Consider the following 20,805-nt stretch of genomic DNA (forward strand, 5'->3'; position numbering starts at 1 on the left):
GGTGGATAAATGGCAGATCACTTGAAGCCAGGAGTTCTAGATCAGCCTGGCCAACATGGTGAAACCCTGTCTCTACTAAAAATACAAAAATTAGCTGGGTGTGGTGGTGCACACCCGTAATCCCAGCTACTTGGGAGGCTGAGGTGGGAGGACCGCTTGAGCCCGGGAGCCGGAGGTTGTAGTGAGCTGAGATTCAGCCACTGCACTCCAGCCTGGGTGAAAGAGCGAGACCCTGTCTCAAAAAAAAAAAAAAAAAAAAATCTACTCACATAGTTGCAAGATGCCCACTGGGAAATGCCTAACTTAACTTCCAGTCACTTAATCCTTCTGAACTTTATTTCAGACTGTGGTGATATTGGAGATATCAATAAAATTCACCATGTATCAAAAGCACACCACTTGCCAGGAAGAGTTCTAAGTTATTTCATGCATTCTCTGCAATCATAATCCCCCAGAAGGTGGCTATCACTAGCTCCATTTTACAGGAAAGCTAAGAGTTCCATGGAGGCAAGATTTCACCCAGATCTTCCTGACTCAAGTCTCATGCTCTGTCTCCATCCCTCAGTGCCTCTCAGGATGGTAATGATCTTGGGGGTGAAAATGCTTATGTGGTTAGTGATAACAGGTGCTTAGGATCTCCCTGAGGGAGGGGACTTTTTCTCTCTTCTCCATTCTGTATCCCCAAAGCCCAGAACACTGCACATAAGTGCCTGGCACATAAGTGATGCTCAGTAAACAGTGAATAAAAGAAAGGATGGGTAAAGGGAGGGGGCTGCAGGATGAGGTCCCTTCATGATGAGTTGCCATGCGAGGGCATTGATGGAGGACACTGCGCCCTGGTGGTTATGGGGATTATGGGTTATGGGGTGGTGACGTGGCTTTAAGGATGCTGGCATGGGACAGTGACAGCAATAGTGAACCACTGTGATTGAGGCATTGGCAGTGGGCAGGATCATGATGGCAAGAATAATTTCCTCTTTGAGACCAACCTGGATCAGTAAGGGTGTCCTGAGCAGCCTCACTCCCCACCCACCTTCTGCGCCCTCTACAGCCCTGCCTTCCTCGGGAGGCTGAGGCAGCTTGGGCGCAGCTCAGGGTCTGAGCCCACTTCACACTTCTTCAGCCACACCCGGTCTCCCTGTTCAAGGAAGAGCAAGAGTTTAGCTGCTGCTGCTCCTCAGCTGTGGGACCTCAGGAAAACCCCTCTACCTCTCTCAGCTCAGTTTCTTCCCCATCAACGCATTCCTTCTGTGTGTTCTGAGCCAGGCACAGCCTGGTGAGCGGAAACATTTGCTATAAGCCGGGCAGAGCCAAGGGCCGGGCTTTGGCTGATGGACTCCAGTTCCAGTCCTGACACCACCACTTTCCAACTCTGTGACCTGGGGTGGGTGACTTCAGTTCTCTGAGCTGCAGGTTCCAAATCTGTAAAGTGAGGATGATAGCACCCACCCACATCTCAGGGGCTTAATGAGATGGTGGGTATCAAGTATGCTCGCCCCTGGTCTACAGCTTTGCCCTGCAGGCCTCAGGCCCTCATGACACCCCTAACCCTGTGAACTGCTTGGGTGGGGAGCTCTGTCACCTGGGGATTCATGGTGAGGAGAGAGGGGCGGGTGGGAGAGGAGGGGTCCCAGGTGGGGGCTCTGCCCTTGCCTTGGCCTGGCCCAGAGCTAGCTGTAACCTTGGCCTTCTCTCTTCCATCACTGATGGGTTTTGCCTCTCAGCCTCACCTACAGCCCGTCAGCCAACTCGGAGAAGCAGACAAAACACTCTTTGAACACCATTAAAGCCTCCTTGCAGCAGAAAAGAAAAAAAGATGGAATTCCCTCAGGGGACAGGTAGAAAAGAAGGAGCAAGCAGCTCATGTTGCCTCTGTAGAAACAACTAGCCCGGCTCATCTACCGTGAGAGTCTTGGTGTAGGTGAATCATAGCAACCATGAATTGTTGAACTTGAGAATGACAGCACCTGAGAAATGGCGGCATCCTCAGCGTCCTGAGATCTTGCTGAGCTCACCTCTGACCGCCCAGCCGCCCTGCCAGCTGGTGGCCCCGGCTCTGCCCGAGGCTATCCTGGGCTGGGTGCTGCCCCCACATGTCAGGGCCTGGGAGACCCAGGATCTCACCTTACCTAAGCAGGCAGGAGGGTGACCTAGGCTGGCCTTGGTCCCTAAGAAAGGCCCTGGGGTGAGCCGCACTGGCAGCATTGAGGGCCAAGGGCCTGGGAACTGGCTGTTCCTTCAGGTCAGATGATGAACCATGCTGGGCCAGGAGCTGGGGTTCTACTTTCCACTCCTAGCCCTGCTGCCAACTTGCCAAGGGACCCAGGAAAGGCACTGCTCCTATCTGGGCCTCAGTTTCTCAGTCTGTAACAGGAGTAGGCCATACAGAGGCCCAAGAGGTTATGGGCTCCCTCGGCTTCTCCCAAACGGACTGCAGCTGCCTAGGCCTGGGCATAGGGGTGGCAGAGGCCCTCGCTTGGTACAGGGCCACATTGGTGGGTTCCCGGGGGGCTGGCAGACTCTTTGCTGACCCCTGGGCCACTGACCTCAGGCTCCCACCATCCGCCACACTTCTCCATTCACCATCCACATGCAGCCTCTGGAGGGGGCAGCCGTGGTCAGGAGCGTAGACTGGGCCTCTGTCTGCTGTCCGCCCACTCAGCTTAGCCCCTGCCCTACCCACCTGTCTGTTCAGGGGTGGATGGATGAAGGTGAGCTCCTGGGCTGTCAGCAGGATCCGGTGGGGGCCCCACACCAGCTGCAGCTGGTGGATGCCCAAACTGGAGGCAAGAGAAGGGGCAGGGCAGTGGGAGTGATGCCAACGTCCCCTCCCAGCCTCAGTCTGGCCTCTGACTCAGAGCCGTCACCTTTCCTCTCCCCGTTTCCATTTCTGTCTCACTGTCAGTCCCAGCTGGGTCAGGAGGGCACTGAACACTGTCTTCACACAGGCCCTCTGCCTCGGGCTCGGGTCTGGAACCCCTGGGCCTGATGCATCTGCTGGTCCCCAGTCGCAACGTTCCCAAGTTGCCAAGAGTCCTCGTGGGGCAGCCCAGAGAGGGCTGGGATTGGAAGGCTGCCCGCTTCCAGATGCGCCTGAGACTCAGGGATGGTTTGGATTCAGGAACACACAGGAATTTAGACCCCAGGGAGAATTGTTTTCAAAGCTGGAGGGCCCCTGGGAGTCATTCTGGCCAACCCCATCACTATACAGATGGGGAGCCTGAAGCTCAGGGTGTGGAGCACGTCCAGGGTCATGGGCTTCTTCCTCAAGTCTCAAACGGACCTTCTCAGGAGGCAGCCAGGGCCTTGACAAGTCCTGGCTGGGGCTCTGGGACGGACAAGAGCACCGGGGGCCCTAGGGTCCTGGGAGACGGAGGCTGGGAAAGCCCCCTGTAGACTGCCGGGGCTGAGCACACAGAAGGGAGGCCCCGTGGGGTAGGAGCCCTCTGCAGGCCTCTCCCCATAAGGCCACCAAAGTGATTTTTAAAGGCTTAAATCAAATCATTTCTTACTCAAACCCCACTGATGGTTTCCCATTTTACTTACAATAAGTTCAGACTCCTCGTGGCCCACAAAGCCTCACATGCTCAGGCCCCAAGCTCATCTCAAATTCCTGTCTCATCACCCATGACAGCTCAGCCACTCCACACTCCTTCCTTCGTTTTCCTCCATCAATTGGAGCTCGTTCTGCCTCAGGCCCTTTGCACTTGCTGCTTCCCCTGACTGGTCACTCTTCATCCAGATGCTCATCTAGCTGCTTCCTTACTATTTGGAGCTCAGCTCAAGTGCCACCCCCCAAGTGGGCTTCCCTGCCCATCTAGCTCTTGTTGGCCACTACTCCATCCTGCTCCTCTATCATTGTATCCTGTTCTGTTTTCTCGGTGGCATTATCACTATGGGAATTTAGCTATCTGGTTATTTGGTTATCGCCTGTCTCGCCCTAACAGAATAGAAACTCCTTAAAGGCCAGGTCTGTCTTGTTCACCACTGTCTTCCTGACACCAGACGTAGTGGCGCATGAGAGGGACTCAGTCCACATCTGTCAGATAAATGACTGCCTGAATGGCCCACCATCAGCATCCACATCCGTCACCACCTCCAGGCACTGCTGTCTTCTTAACACCAAGAAACGGGCATCCCCAGGAGACCCAAGTTCACTGAGTCCTGTAAGCCAAGCCAGGCCAGCAGCTGCGTCCCCCACCACTAACTCTCTTCAGAATCACAGCAATGACTACAGAAAATCTTCCCCTCTCTCCCACTCTCCCATGCTCCCAACACTTTCCCCTTCTGATCTTTGTCATTTGCTAGAGAGATGCAGAGCCAGGAGAGGAGAAATGTGTATAAGAGAAAGAGCAGCTGGGCCAGAAATGAGAATTTCAGGGACTGAGAGAGCTGGAGATAGATAAATAGAAGCAGAAGAGACACAGAGGAACACTGACAAGGCAGGCCAAAAAGGTGAGTGATATGGGGAAGAACAGAGACATGCGGGAGTCCCCCCTTATCTGCAATTTCTCTTTCCATGGTTTCAGCTACCCACAGTCAATCAGGGTCTCAAAATATTAAGATAATTTGAAAGAGGCAGAAAGACCACATCCACTAATTCATATTACAATATATTGTTATAATTGTTCTATTTTATTATTTAGTTATTGTTGTTAATCTCTTACCGTGCCTAATTTATAAATTAGACTTTATTATAGGTATGTAGGTATAGGAAACGCAGCATATATAGAGTTTAGTACCATCCACGGCATCAGGCATCCGCTGGGGGTCTGGGAACATGTCCCCAGTGGATAAGGGGGACTACTGCAGACATACACATATACATACACATATACATATACATACACATATACATATACATATACACATACATATACATATACATACACATATACATATACATATACACATACATATACATATACATACACATACACATATACATATACATATACACATACATATACATATACATACACATATACATATACACATACATATACATATACATACACATATACATATACATATACACATACATACACATATACATACACATATACATATACATACACATATACATATACATATACACATACATATACATATACATACACATATACATATACATATACACATACATATACATATACATACACATATACATATACATATACACATACATATACATACACATACACATACACATATACATACACATACACATACACGTACACGTACACGTACACGTACACGTACACGTACACGTACACGTACACATATACATATACATATACATATACATATACATATACATACACACATACACATACAAGAAGGAGAAAGCGATTGACCACACCCAGGGACTAGGCAGAGAGATACTTTGTCAAAAAGAGGCCATGTGCCCATGGTGGAGATGGGCCTGAGCACGTGCACCCCTGCCCCGGACCCCCACTCAAGGCATTCGGGGTCTGCACGAGGAGCACACCTACCTGAGCGTGTGCACCCCTGCCCCGGACCCCCACTCAAGGCATTCGGGGTCTGCACGAGGAGCATACCTACCTGACCGCATGCACCCCTGCCCCGGACCCCCACTCAAGGCATTCGGGGTCTGCACGACGAGCATGCCTACCTGACCGCGTGCACCCCTGCCCCGGACCCCCACTCAAGGCATTCGGGGTCTGCACAAGGAGCACACCTACCTGCTCTGGCTCAAGGTGGGCAGCCGCCTCTCCATCAGGCCGGGCAGCAGCAAAGGCCTTGTCTATGGGGCCAGACTCCTGGCTGATGGTGAGCACTGCATCATAGGCCTCCTGCAGGGGTCCACCAGTGCCGAGAGACAGGTAGGAGCGGTTGCAGTAGGACAGGGAGAAGAGCAGCATGTCATAGGGCAGGAAGACTAATCTCCCATCCACCAGGCCCTCGGCCCAGGCACACGGCTCAGCAGGGTGGTCATCTCCAAGCCCCCCAGCACCGCCGAGTGCATCCACAGCACCACAACTGGGGCCAGAGGTGGCAGGGTCACCTTTGCAGGCCCAGTTCCACTGTGGCCTGCCCTGAAGCCCACAGTTCTCTAGCCCTGGAGAGCTGCTCGGAACTCCCGGGCACCCGCTCTGCTGCCACCCCACCCCCATCCCCACTGGCCTAGCAAAGGTAGAATTTCCCTTTAATCTGCCCCCCATAACAATAACAGCCAAGGCCACCAAATCTGAGTTTGATCTGATGAAAAACATCCCTTTAATGGAGGATAGATTTGTATTAATATGGCCCTCCCGGCCTGTCTGCCCAATCATTTTGACCAACGTCCTGCCCTACCCAACTCCACTGGCCCTGACAATTGTGAATATGTATTGATAGTTTTCTTCTTTCTTTCTTTTTCCGATACAGGGTCTTGCTCTGTTGCCCAGGCTGGAGTGCAGTGGTGCAATCATGGCTCACTGCAGACTCACATTCCTGGGTTCAAGCAATCCTCCCACTTCGGCCTCTGAGAGAGCTGGGATTACAGGTGTGAGCCACACACTTGGCTGTCGACAGCTTTCTCTGTGTTGTCCTAAAGAACTTTCTCAAACATTTTGTCATTCAATGTTGCAACAGCACTAAGAAGCATGTTGACCATTATCTCTATTTTTTTAGAGGAGCAGTTGGGGAGCTGCTCAGGACTCATAACCACCACAGTGGTACAGCTAGAATTTGAACCCAGGCAGGTTGGCTCCCAGCTTATAATCCTTTTTTTTCTTTTTTAAAGAATTTTTTTTAAATTGAGATACATATAAAATTCATTCTTTTAAAAAATGTACAATAAAGTGGTTTTAGTATATTCACCAAGTTATGTAACCATCACCACCATTGAATTATAGAACGCTTTTATCACCCCAGAAATAAACCCATTAGCAGTTGCTCCCCATTCCTCCCTCCCTCAACTCCAGTCAACCATGAATCTGCTTTTTGTCTCTATGGATTTGCCTATTCTGGACATGTCATACAAATGCACATAATACATGGTACTTTGTGTGTGGCTTCTTTTTTTTTTTCTTCTTCTTTTTTTTTGACAGGGTCTCACTCTGTCACCCAGGCTGGAGTGCAGTGACATGAACTCAGCTCACTGCAAACTCCACCCTCTGGGTTCAAGAGATTCTCCTGCCTCAGCCTCCTGAGTAGCTGGGATTACAGGCACCCGCCAGCACACCTGGCTAATTTTTGTATTCTGGTTAATTTTTGTATTTTTAGTAGAGATGGGGTTTTACCACGTTGGTCAGGTTAGTCTCGAACTCCTGACCTCGTGATCCACCCACCCACCCCGCCCCCACTCCGGTCCTCTCAAAATGCTGGGATTACAGGGGTGAGCCACCGTGCCTGGCCTGTGTCTGGCTTCTTTGACTTAGAGTAATGCTTTCCAGGTTCGTCCTTATTGCAGCATACGTCAGTACTTCATTCCTTTTCGTGGCTGCATAATACTCACTGTATGATAGACCGCATTTTGCTTATCATCATCGGCTTGTAATCTTAACCTTGGCCCTGGGTGGCATCCTTAAGGTCTAAGTAGACACAGATACATGCATCTCTACCTTAGTAAGAGAAGTAGCCCTGAATAATAAAGCTGCCAATTTCACCCCCAGGCCCCAGGACAGAAGGGAGCCCTTGCCAAGGTCGGGGTCCACACTTGATTTCCTTTGCATCTTTTCCGTCTTCCCCACTTGGGTCCTGACCAGCACGGCAATCGCAGCCACAAAAGGGCCACCACTTGTTTGGGATGTGGCCTGGGTTCTCACTGCACTCCCTTTTTGCAGAAAACTCAGGAAGGCTGAGGGTCTCCTTGCTGGAGCCTGAAGACCCCTCATCACATGGACTTCAGGGCCTGCAGCCCTGGCTTCCGCTGAGCCTCTGGGGACCCGTACTGTGGGGGCCACAAGCCCACCCCCTCCATGTCTTAGATAGTGCGGGAGGTCCTCAAAGAGAGGCCCACGAGGACTGAGTGGAAACAGAAGCTGGGCCTGTGTCCCATTTGCTCTGCTGGGCCGACTTCCCAAACGCCCTTTCTCTTGAGGGTTGGAAGCGCTGTTCTGTATTTGGCCACGCGGGGGAGCTGCTCCGCACAGCTCAGGACTAAGCCACCTCACGGGAAACGCCAGCGCGGGCTGCAAGCTGTGCCGCTGTGTGAAGGCACGGTCCTGAGCCTGCTATCTGCAGTGGATCAGCTTCATGCCATTAGTGAAGAAACCATAGCACAGAGAGGATTAGTGACTTGCCTGAGGTCACATGGGTGCGGGATGGGGTGGAGGGGGCGGCAGTGGGACTCCCTGCAGTCTGACTCCAGAGAGTGTGCCCCTCACCCCTCTGCCTCCTGGCTCCTGAGAGCCAGCACTGTGGCTGGAGCTCAGTCCCCCGCAGCACGGGTGGAGAAGGAGTCTGAGGGTCTCCCCACCCACTGCTGCCAGGCTCTGGCCATGCAGAGCCAAACTGTTGACGTTCTCCCGGTCCTGCTGGCATGCTACCTCCACGCCTTTGCACAAGCTGGAGTGCCCTCTGCCTGGAATGCCTTTCCCCGTCAGCTCCACTCCAAAATCAATTTCTCATCATCAGGCCCTGTCCAATGTCACCCCTTCTGTGAAGCCCTCCACATCTCCAAGCAGATCAGCAGCTCCAGCCTCTGGGCTCCCCTGTGCCCTGCATACACACCTGTCTCCCACCAGACTCAGGCTGCTCACGGCTGGGGCCCAGCCAGATCCTGCCTGTGTCCCCAGAGTACAGCCAAGGTCAGGCAGACTGTGCCCTGCAGTAAGAAATACATTTTACCTTGGTAGACTCACGAGACTGACTGTATAGAACTTGAGTACCCTAAAGGACATCTCTCAGAACCACTTACCCTTGCTACCTGCAATGCGGTCTCATAGTTACTACTGTTATTCCTATCTATTTTAGTTTATTCTGCTCAATTCTGTTCTTCTCTTTTTCTATTCCACTCTCTTTTTTTCTTTTTTTCCTTGAGACGGAGTTTCGCTCTTGTTGCCCAGGCTGGAGTGCAATGGCGCGATCTCAGCTTACCACAATCTCCACCTCCCGGGTAAGCAATTCTCTTGCCTCAGCCTCCTGAGTAGCTGGGACTAGAGGCACACACAGCCACGCCCAGAGGCCCTGACAAGGACTTTTTACCCCCTTTTACAGAGGAGGAAACTGTGGCTCTGGGTGGGACAGTGACTTGTCCAAGGTCTCATCAAATGTTAGGACTGAACTTGGACCAGAGCTTGGCTTCCTGCCTCCTAGCCAAAGGCAAAAATCACCTCTTTTTACTGACACCTGGAACATCAGAGCTGAAGGATCCTTGGAGATATAAACCTCTAAATCAATTCCTCTGTGTACAGATAAGGAGACAGGCACAGAAAGGAGCATGGGTAGCCCTCAGTCCCACAAAGCTGCAGCAGGCTCCCCTGGCCTGAGGTCTTGCTGGCCATGCTCAGTATCCGGAGAACTCTGCAGTGGATGGCCAGCAGGGGCTCACAGAGGGCTGAAGATCTTAGCAGGCCAGCACTGGGCCAAGGCAGGAGCTGCTTTTAATCCCAGTTCTGCCACTGATTTATGGGACAGAGTCTACAACCCGTTCTGTGCCTCAGTTTTCCCAGCTGTACAGGGAGAGCTTGGCTTAGACATTTAGGTTTCCAAAGATCATTCAGGTCTGATGTTCTACATGTTTACAAAAATCCAGAGACAGGTGGTTTTTGTCCCTTAGGCTGGCCACATCTCCTCTCCCAACCCTTCTCCCAAGAGTGTGTGAGCCTCTAGTGCCTCCACCTCTGGGCACAATAGACTAATGTGCCACCCTCCTGGGGAGAGACCATTTGTATTTTTAGACTCAGGGAGATGGGCCCCAAGGATTAGCCACAGACTGCTTGACTCATAGAGCCAAGCTCCTCGAATTAGTCAACTCCACAGCCCCATAATCTCCAAAAGTTGAAGATGCCTTTAGCTGCACTAACACATGAATGACCAAAATAGGGAAGGTGACAGGAACCTGGGGAAGGGGGATGGGGGATTCCTGTCATAGTCAGGGGCCCTGCAGCCCCTGCAGCCAAGGGTCATCCTTCTGTCCTTCAACCTGGTGCCTCTTACCTTCTTCCCGAGCAAGCTCCCCACAGACGGACCTGCAACTCTGCATTGTTGGAGCTGACTTGTTGCCTGTTGGTAGGCCCTAAGGTTCCTGCAACAGGGTCCTTAGATGTCAAGCTCTTAGAGTAGACTCTGGCCTGAGGGGGTCCTTTCCCCCAACAGCCTGTACGCTCACCACTCCTCTGCCTGTGACTTTCAGACCCTGCTCCCTGGGAAGAGCCTCCTACATGGCTCATTCCCTATCTGTCCCTCTCAGGAGCCTGAATAAGGCACTTGGAAAATTAGATCTGTTCAGACCCCAGTGCTCTGGGGAGCCACAAGCAGAAAGGAAGAAGGGAATAAAATAAAGAGAGACACATAGAGGGGGATGGAGAAAGAGAGGAGAGGTCTTCAGCACTCCGGACAGCTCCAGACCTGGTTGGGGGCAGCTCCCAGGAGGAAGGATGGGCAAGCACTAAAGAAACCCTTAGTTTATTTGAACCTCTGCTGTGTGCCAGTCCCTGTGCTAGGCACCATTCACACAACCCACGGAGACAGGCATTACTATTATCCTCACCTTATAAAGTATGGCCCAGAGAAGTTAGGTGATTTGACCAAGGGCACAGAGCTGGTAAGCGGCAGGGCTGACTGTAGGTCTGGGCTTTGCTCATGGATACAATGTGTAATGATCAAGTCAGGGTAACTGGAATATCCATCACCTCAAACATTTATCTTTTCTTTGTGTTGGGAACATTAAAATTCTTCTCTCTAGCTATTTTGAAATATATAATAAATTACTGTGAACTATAATTTCTCTGCTGCAGTATCGAACACTAGAACTTATTCCTTCTACATAGCTGTATTTGTGTACCCTTTAACCAATTTTTCTTCATTTCCCTTCTTCCCACTTCCATTCCCAGTCTCTGGTAACCATCATTCTACCTTCTACCTCCATGAGATCCACTTTTTAAGCTCCCACATATGAGTGAGAACACCCAATATTTGTCTTTCTGTGCTGGACTTACTTCACTTCACATAAGACCTAGAATAGAGGCCACTCCTTTCTGGGGTGAACACTTAAGTGGAGATAGAGACCTCAGTCCATGGGCTCCAGCCCCTCCCTCTTCCGCTTGCTTTCTCCTATCTAGGTAAAGTTAGCTTTTACTAGGTGCACTCAGCATCCACTCTATGCTAGGGTTATGCATACCCATCTCATTTAACCTTTATAGCAACCTAGTGAAGGGATTACTGTCTTTTGCTTTCTTCATGTCACTTTATTCATTCAACAAATGTTTACTGAGTGTCCTCATCATGGTTCTGCCAAGGGGCCAGGCTTCCATCCACCCCGACCTCCCACCCCTAATTCCTGTTTTCCCTCTTGCTCCCTTCCATGTTTCAGACACTGTTCTAAACACTTGAGCTAAATCAACCAACAAACAAATTTAAAAGAACAAAAAATAAGATTTTTGCCCCTCGCAGAGCTTACTTTCTAGCAGGGCAGGGAAAGATGTGTTAGTAAACAAAAAATAAACATAATAAGTAAGTAGACATATTTTTAGTGTTTGAAAGTGATAGGTGCTATTAAAAAAAGAAGGGTAATAATGCCATGTTATAACTCTGTGGAAGTGTTTTTCGTATTGCTACACAATTGTCATAATTTCAGTGGTCAAAGAACACACTGAATGGGTGTGTCATTAGTTAGTATGGATGGAAGGATCTGAAGCCTCTGTGTCTGGTCTTTATTGGGTTACCCCCTTTACCACTGACCAGGACTGAGCAAGGGAGTATTAAAGGGCTCCCCAGTTAGTATATGGGGCTCTGGTCGTGGTCCTCCCTGTCCCCATTGTAAGGCAACAACCATATTTCCTTGTGATAATTGGGATTGATTACTTGGGCTTACACAGTGATTCCCTTCTCTGTCCGTTGATTCAGAGTCCTGAGGAGCCCAAAATGGCCACACAATAGTTTCAGTTTTCAATTCATTGGAAAAATTACTGCATTCTCTGGAGGGAGTGTTTCTCCCCTGGGAGAAACTAGGTGCTCCAAACCACTGAATCCAAGACCACGGGCACAGGCAGGAAATATTCTTCTAGTGAGTTTGTGGGTGATAGTGAAAGAGGCCACTCCTATCTTTCTTCCTTGGTTCCCAGCCCATCCCTTCTGCTGTAGGAAGATGGCCCACTTGGCCCCTAGTATAAGGCATATACTGCATCCTGGAAGCACAGGATGCCATCTCCTAGCTCATTTGGCAACTGAGCTATTCTCCAATGGACCATTCCACATTTCTGTCAAGCCAGGTGCTTCTGGGCAATGGGAGATGAGCTCACTGCTTCAGTTCCTTTGCAGTAAAATGCTTCCCCTGGTTAGAGGCAATGTCGTGTAGGACAACATAGTAACATATAGGGCACTCTTAGACTATGAACGATGGTACTGGCAAAAGCACTGTAGGCAAGAAAAGCAACTCTACACACAGTTATATTTCTATCTCTACAAGCAGAAAGAAAGGCATTGTTGCTTCTATGAAGGGAGAGCTCTCATATAATCAAACTGTCACCAAGTAACTGGCTGACCCCCCAGGGAAGTGGTGCCGGTTTTTGAGCTTAGCAGTGGCCTCTGCTATCTGCAGGTTGGACACTCAGCTGTGGAAGCAGCTAGATGGGTCTTGATGAGTGCAAGCCGATGTTGTCAAGCCAATGCAAGTCTCCATTCTGAATGCCATGGCCACACGGCCATTGAGTAAGCACGGGGAGGGGGGTGGGCTATGGAAAGAAGCTGACTGATAGCCACAAGTCACCTTGTCCACCTAATCTTGAGGATTTCTGTCATAGATGCCCACTAGTGGGGCATTCATGTGGAGCACATGTGACTGCTCTGAGAGGCTTGCCCACACACCTCATTGACACCAATTTCCAATCTTGTTTATAGCAAGACTCTGGCCATCCAGACAGTCCATTGTCAACTGCCCATGAGTCAAAGTAAATAAGTACCACAGGCCCTCTCTCCTTCAGCACAAAATGGACAACTAGCTGTGCCCCTCTGAAATCCTGCCCAAGAGGAAAATTTCCTTTCACCACTTGTATGTCAGGACCAGCCTTGATTGGAGAGGTAATGCAGCTACCATCCCTTTCTGGCTGGTACCAGCATACCGTGATATCCACCCATGAACCAGACCTACACTTCTTCCTCCTCCACCAACTGCCAATGAGAAACTCCCCATGTATGGTTTTGGTATCAGGTATCAGTTGAAGGAGAAGTGGCAAAAAATAAGAGAAGGTACCATGGCAGTCTAGGCCATCTGCTTGGCCACATAGAATGCTTCTATGCATGGCCAATCTTCTGATCCGGGGAATCAGATAGCCCCTGGTTCAGTGGTCCATTCTGCTAGAACAGTCATTCAGTATTCATAGTCACATTTGGTCTCCACCAGGAGTAGGAGCAAGTCAGAACTGCTTTTCAAGTGGATGAAAGTTGTCCACAAAAAATAATATATATGGTTTTATGCCCAAAGCCTAGTGCTCTGTGCTGTGATTCTCCTGTTGGAAGTTGAAGAGGCTCTATACTGCATCTCTGTCTGCCACAGATACCATGGGGTCTGTTGGGTCATAAGTTTCAGTGGCAGGGCAAGTTGCACAAATCTGCTGTTCAGTCCCTTTATTGCCGTGGGACCTGCTGAAAACTGGCAGATTTCTGAGCTACCTGATAAATAGATCAACACTCCCAAATGTGGTATTATTAGGTGGGTGCAAAAGCAACTGTGGTTTTTGCCATACTTTTATGCCATGCTTTTATGGCAAAAACCGCAATTGCTTTTGCACCAACCTAAGACATTGCTTCTAGCATCCAAACAGGCTCACCAAGCACTATGTCCCCTTCTATGTGATGTTTGGTACAACATGCCACAACTTGCTTCTCGCATTAGAAAAGGTATTCCACGGACCCCTAGGAACTTCACCAATATGACAGCCCCCTGAATTTTTGCAAGGTGTACCTCCTTCTCTCCGGCGTGTATCACTAGGATATTTAAAATACCAGCTCCCTCCTAAACACCAGATCCAATTAGCAAAATGACATCAATATAATGAACCAGCATGATGTTCTGTGGAATACTGAGCGGATCCAAGGTCCCTTTGAGCTCTATTACGTTAGCAAACTAGAGAGGTAACATAGCTCTGGGGACAAAACAATAAATAAAGGCATCCTGTTGTTCTGCAAACCTCTTTTTCCTTACTGATAGGAATGGAAAAGAAAATATTTGCCAGTCTAATGGCTGCAAACCAGGTGTCAGGGGCTGTACTGACTTGATCCAAAAGATAGCTGGAATGGCAGCTTCGCCTGGCATCATTTACTAATTATTAATAAGTTTGTGATAATATACTATTATTCTGTAGGACCCAGCTGGTCTTTGCACCAGTCAGAGTGCAATTTAAATGGGGCTGTCATAGGAATTACCACCCCTGCTTCTCTGAAGTCTTTGATGCAGACACTAATTTCTGCAATTCCCTGAGGGGGATTGCTTTTGCTGTACTCACTGGGCAGGGGGGAGCTGGGTAGGGAGCTTTCCCCCATGGAACACTTTCCCCCATGGAACCCCCAATCCACAGGCCAGGAAACAAATATAGGGAACAAATATAGGGATTCTATTAGTGGTTATATATGTCTACTCCCATCATTCATTCTGAAACTGGGGAGACAACCACAGAATGCATGCATGATCCCACCAGACCCTCCATTAGAAGGTCTCAGGCCAAGATCGCATGTGTTCCCTGACCTTGTTACTCTTTCCCAGTGGCCCTCGGGCATTTTTGTTCTTTAGGAGAGAGGGATCCTTTGGCCTAGTCTCTAGTAACCTTCTGGATGGCCTGAGTCCCTCCCCAGAGAACAGTCACCTTGGTTCATACCACAGGTCCCCCTTGGAGGAAGAGTCATGATCAATAATTTCCTCAAAGAGACACAGAGTCCCCTCAGTCAAGGACTCTGAGTCTGTGGACGGCTCAGTCTGGGAACCTGGTAAAAGACAATACCTTCTACTATAATGACTCAGGATGAGTTTCCATGTAGCACAGTTTGAAGTTTTCTTTCCATATGTGTCAAGCATATATATGTGCCCCTCCTTTAGTGTAAGAGGCTGTGAGGAGGGAGGTGTTACAACTCTGCAGCCTTTAGCTGGATCCTGGATTTGGTGCCCTGTTATACCTTCCCTGCACCTACAGGACATGAGGTACTCCTTCAAGGTGTCATGGAAGCCTTCTGAAGGTCACATGTTCTCAGTTGTATGGTCATAATTTTAAATTTCATATTTCATATATACATGGCTGTAAGAAACAGCCAGGTTGCTTATCTTATCTGATTCTAAGAGTCAAAACAAAATAAAACAAAAGAAGTAGTCAGGAGCCTCCACCATGTTCACAAGCAGTCTCATTGCCACCAGGCTAAGTGCCAAAGCTGCCTCATAGCCCAAGGTCTGGCTTCTGACCTGCACTTCAGCCTTTGCTCCCACCAGTGATAACTTGCTTGCATCCTATTTCTCCCAGCAAGGAGATAATCCCTGTGTTGCACAAATACAGAACCAGCCCAACTCCAGAATCCTGTTTGAAGGGTCTGTTTCCTAGGGCCGCTTCTGGTATTAGTCAGGTCCAGCAGAAACTGAGGGCACACTCAAATTAGGACAATTCTAGAGAAACTGTTCACACAGGGCGATGATAAGGGTGGGGGTAGTGACACCATAGAGAATGTTGCAGTGACTCAAGGCTAATGTTGGCAGAACTGTTGCCTCCCCAGGCCCAAAGGTCTGAGGAGAGGGAGTTTTCAGGAGATGCGAAGAAAGCTGGCTCCCTTGACAGGAGCAATGACTTTGGTGAAAGGGCACAACTAGATTGCAGCGTCCGTACAGGGAGGGACTCAGGGAACTAGAAGCCCGATCCTGTGTCCTCCCTCCCTCTGATGTGCTGTTAGGGCTTCTCATTGGCCAAACTCAATTGAATCCAGGGACAAGAGACCCATTGCTGTTGTTCATACACGTCAGCTCCTGGCGCCCAGAAAGGGCGGGTGAGGGTGGAAAGTGGATCTGGACGGGCAAAGGGAAGACCTCAGCACAACCACTTTCCCTGGGAGAGTCAAGGGGCAGGGCCTCGGGAAGGGGAGGTTTTTCCCAGGAGCAGGTTCCTCCAAGCGCATCCGAGGAGAGAGGAGTGACACAGGCAAGTGTGCAGAGGCTAGAAGCTGCAAGGTACATGCAGGTGTGGGCTGTTTTCCTGCAAGGAACGTGGATATCAAGACACAAAGGTGACAGGCAGGCCTGGCCCCAGGTCTTTGTTAATCTGGAAGAGACCTTATTTCTGGAATCTGTTCATCTTCCTGGCTTGGCTCCTCCCCCACTGGAAACCCAGAGAACTCAGGAGAGACCCCCAACACAGTGGCCCACGCACGGCTGATACCACTGGCTAGGGCCACAACACCAACATTCTACCCTGCTGTCCACCCAGTTCCCAAGGCCTTTAGGGCTCTGATCTCACCAGGGCTCATTTGCCCAAACTTAACCCTTTAACCAATTTTTTCCTGAGTGCCTAGCCCTGCAAGTGAGACATGGTTTCCATGCCTGAAGGGGCCACTGTCTGGTGTCTGCCTCTATAAAATCCTGTGGCAATAACAGCTCAGCTAGAAGAAAATACAAGGTGTGCACGGAGCCCAGAAGAGGAGACTAAGTGCGTGGGGTAAAGACAAGGAAGCTGTCAAGAAGGAGGTGTCCTCTGACTGTGTCTCGAGTGTCCATAGCCACTCGTCAGGCACATAGGAGAGGAAGGCATATCAGGCAACAGGACCAGCATCAGCAAGTGTCTGGAGGCACAAGGGCATGGAGAATGCCAGGAAAAGCAAATGCTTGGTTTCCTGAGGCTGGGACATGGCAGGCGATGAGGCTGGAGGGGTTGGCAGGGGCCAAATAAAAGAGGGCCTTAAATACCAGCCTTGGGAGTTTAGATTTTACCCTAAAGACAAAGAGCAGGTAGCAGGGGGCTCTGGAGAGTTCATGGCTTCGTCTGCATTTTTGAGATGTTACTATTGTTGTCTCCATTTGACAGATGAGGAAACTGAGACTCAGGGTAGGTGAATAACTTACACAAGGTGACGTAGCTTGTGCAAGTCATGTGACGTACATCCTAGAAGCATCTTATCTCTTTGAATTCCTGGGGAGAGCAGCAGAGTATGGTGTTATGCTCTAGTTATCTGATGATGGGAAACTACCTCAAACTTAAAGGCTTAGCACATTGACTATTGTTGATTTCGCTCATGAATCTACAATTTGGGCAGGGATTGACAAGGAAGCTTTGTCTCTATGCCATACAGCATCAGCTGGGGCCACTTCTCCAAAGCAACTTGTAGAGTGCAGGGCCTGGCTAGGACCAGGAGGCAAGTCCCAGGAATTGGGGGGAAGGCCAGCCACCAGCTCCTAGGTCCTGGCAGAGACTGAGTCACAGACAGAGGGCCATTGCTCTGGTGAGTGTTACCAGGAGACAGGACTGTCCTGGCTGGTGGGGTATTAAAGGCCCATCAAGGGTGTTAAAGGCCACTCCGTCTGTTCCCCAGGAAAATGGAAGTCCTTCACCGTGGAAGGAGTTTTAAGTGGCCTCCATGCCACCACTGAGACAGGACAGCAGGTCCCTGTGGTATCTCCACTCAAGCTTGCACACGTCCACTGCTGAGCCATTCACTGCTCCCTGCTGTGGAGCGCTCAGCCTGCAGGCTTCTATCCTTGGAGTTGGGAAACCAGCCTCATTCCAACCTCCACACTCTGGTCGCTGTTCTGAGCTCTTTGCCCACAGGAAAAGCCTGCCCCGCTCCCGTTGTCAGCCCCAGGTAGTCAGGCAGCAGCAACAAACATACAACACAAGTAAATCACACCCACAGAGCCTTTGCAAACACCCAGTTCATGTCTCATTTAGGACTGTCCCAGGTGCTTTGCACTCATTCAGTTGCCACACTCCTATGAACGGGACAGGCCTTCCCTGTCTTGCTCATCACTGGGTCCCCAGGACCCTGCCTGGCATATATTAGATATACAATAAGTATATGTTGAATTATTAACCCCATTTGGTGGATGAGAGAACCAAGGCACAGAGGGGTTATTGCTTGCCGAAGATCACACAGCTCTGAAGTGGCAGAGCTGGGATTTAGAGCCAGGCACTCTAGCTCCAAAATTCATGCCTTCAACTCCAATATGTTCTGCTTTTTAATTAACATAATGTCAGTCAGGCGTGGTGGCTCATGCCTGTAATCCCAGCACTTTGGGAGGCCGAGGCGGGCGAATCACCTGAGGTCATAAGTTTGAGACCAGCCTGGCCAACGTGGTGAAACCCCGTCTCTACTAAAAATACAAAAATTAGCCAGGTGTGGTGGTGGGCACATGTAATCCCAGCTATTCAGGAGGCTGAGGCAGGAGAATTGCTTGAACCCAGGAGGCGGAGGTTGCAGTGAGCCAAGATCATGCCATTGCACTCCAGCCTGGGTGACAGAGCGAGACTCCATATCAAAAAATAGAAATAAAAAATAAAAATAGTGTCAACCATTTCCCCAACTTTTCTTTTTACTGGAAAGCATTTCCAAACTTTTTTCTTACATAGGTAATAACAATGACATGACATAAGTAGCACTTGTCTATGGCCCTGGAATATAGTCTCATCTCACTGGAGCCTCATTAGAACCTCTACAGCGTAAGGCTCAGACGAACAATGGCCTTTCCTGCCCTGTTCATTGCTGTACCCCCAAAGCCAAGCCTAGTGCATAGTATATACACAATAAATACATGCTGAATTAGTTAACTTTACAGATGAGGAACTGGGATTCAGAGAGCTGATTCTTGCTCAGGGTGACAGAATCAGTAAATGACAGAGCCCTGATTTGAAACTGGTCACTCTGTCCCCAAAGACTATTTCTACTGCATCATGCTCCTTGGCCTTTCTGGGTTTCAGTTCCTCACCAGTTAAATGGGAATCCCAAGGCTCCTTAGAGTGTCTGTCATGACAAAGGATATAATGGAAGTGAAGGTGCTCTGCCAAGAGGAAAGGGACACATGGGTTGGGGGAGGTCTTTCTTGTTTCTTTCACTGAGGCCTCTGCAGGGCCTAGTGCAGGGGAGGAGCTGGGGATGCTGCAGTGAGAGAGAGGATGATGCCTACAGGACATGAGTAAAATTGAGATGGATGGATGGACAGATGGATGGATGAGTGGATGTAGGGATGGCAGATGGATGGATGGGCAGGTGGGTGGATAGATGAAAGGACAAATGGGTGTATGGATGGATGGATAGATAGATGGGTAGATGGACAGATAGTGTCTTAGTTCATTTTGTGCTGCTATAGCAGAATATCACAGACTAGGTAATTTAGAATGAACAGAAATTTATTTGGTTCATGGTTCTGGAGGCTGAAAAGTGCAAGACTGAGGGGCCGGCATCTGGTGAGGGACTTCTTGCTGCAGCACAACATGGTGGAAGGCATCTCATGGCAAGAAAGAGCATGCAGGTGAGAGAGAGGCAAAAGGGGGCCAAACTCATTCTTTTATAAGGAACTCATAATAACAACCCATTCCCATGATAATGGCATTAATTCATTCATGAGGGCAGAGCCCCCATGAGCTAAGGCCTCATCTTGTTAAGGCCTCACCTCCCAATATCTCCACATTGAGGATCAAATTTCCAACATACAGACTTTGGGGGACACATTCGAACCATAGTAGATGGAAAACTAGATGGGTGGATGGAAGGCAGATGGATCGGTAGGTGGATAAGCGAATGCAAGGATGATGATGGATGGATGTGAAATAGACATTACTGTCCAGTGTGGTCTCAGGCTGGTATTTTTTATTTTTATTTTTATTATACTTTAAGTTTTAGGGTACATGTGCACAACGTGCAGGTTTGTTACATATGTATACATGTGCCATGTTGGTATGCTGCACCCATTAACTCATCATTTAACATTAGGTATATCTCCTAATGCTATCCCTCCCCCCTCCCCCCTCCCCCCACCCCACGACTGGCCCTGGTGTGTGATGTTCCCCTTCCTGTGTCCATGTGTTCTCAGTGTTCAATTCTCATCAGGCTGGTATTTTAGTCTTTATCCAGCAGAGGGCACCAAGGCTCCAATAATTGGCCTACGCTGGAGTTTCTTGGCAGTAGAAAGCTGCCTGCAGGAGAGCACACCTGGAGTCAGAACCAGGCCCAGCCTGCAGCTTGTGGGCAGCTCAGGCAGGTGATAGGCTCAGGACACAAAGGACCAAGTTAGGGTCCTGGGGTGCAGGGGCATAAAAAACACAGGCTTAGGGTGTGGTGGCTCACACCTGTAATCCCAGCACTTTGGGAAGCCGGGGCAGGCAGATCACTTGAGGCCAGGAGCTCAAGGCCAGCCTGGCCAACATGGTGAAACCCCATCTTTACTAAAAATACAAAAATTAGCCGGGTGTGGTGGCATGCACCTGCAATCCCAGCTACTCAGGAGGCTGAGGCAGGAGAATTGCTTGAACCCGGGAGGCAGAGTTTGCAGTGAGTGGAGAATGCAACACTGCATTCCAGCCTGGGCGACAGAGTGAGAATCCATCTAAAAAAAAAAAAAAAGCACGGGCTTAGGGACAGACCCTGGCATCTCCCTCCTGGAATGGGGCCTCAGGGGCCCCATTTTCCCCTTTGAGGAAATAGGTGCACCTTCTGGGCTTGTGGTGAGGATGAAATTAG

General features: G+C 49.6%; 1 pseudogene across 1 annotated transcript in view, besides 2 other annotated features; it reads right to left on the reverse strand.

Annotated features, from left to right (window-relative positions):
* The window catches only part of GUCY2EP (guanylate cyclase 2E, pseudogene), a 41,624-nt pseudogene extending 33,697 nt beyond the window's left edge, over positions 1 to 7,927 (reverse strand). Inside the window, exons 1-6 of the transcript NR_024042.2 lie at positions 7,845 to 7,927; positions 5,636 to 6,003; positions 4,072 to 4,164; positions 2,868 to 3,036; positions 2,684 to 2,780; positions 2,547 to 2,599 (exon numbers count right to left, since the gene is read on the reverse strand). The product of NR_024042.2 is annotated as a guanylate cyclase 2E, pseudogene (transcript). The remainder of the gene's footprint in view (positions 1 to 2,546; positions 2,600 to 2,683; positions 2,781 to 2,867; positions 3,037 to 4,071; positions 4,165 to 5,635; positions 6,004 to 7,844) is intronic.
* Positions 7,773 to 8,364: an enhancer, noted in NCBI's record as "H3K4me1 hESC enhancer chr11:76432679-76433270 (GRCh37/hg19 assembly coordinates)". NCBI's record gives its function as "activates a minimal SCP1, AML or CMV promoter by ChIP-STARR-seq in naive H9 embryonic stem cells {active_cell/tissue: H9 hESC(naive)}" and the evidence as "EXISTENCE:reporter gene assay evidence [ECO:0000049][PMID:30033119]".
* Positions 20,127 to 20,226: a silencer, noted in NCBI's record as "silent region_3788". NCBI's record gives its function as "represses an Ori minimal core promoter by ATAC-STARR-seq in GM12878 lymphoblastoid cells {active_cell/tissue: GM12878}" and the evidence as "EXISTENCE:reporter gene assay evidence [ECO:0000049][PMID:35858748]".

This window comes from Homo sapiens, chromosome 11 (genome assembly GCF_000001405.40).
Source record: "Homo sapiens chromosome 11, GRCh38.p14 Primary Assembly".
NCBI lineage: Eukaryota > Metazoa > Chordata > Mammalia > Primates > Hominidae > Homo > Homo sapiens.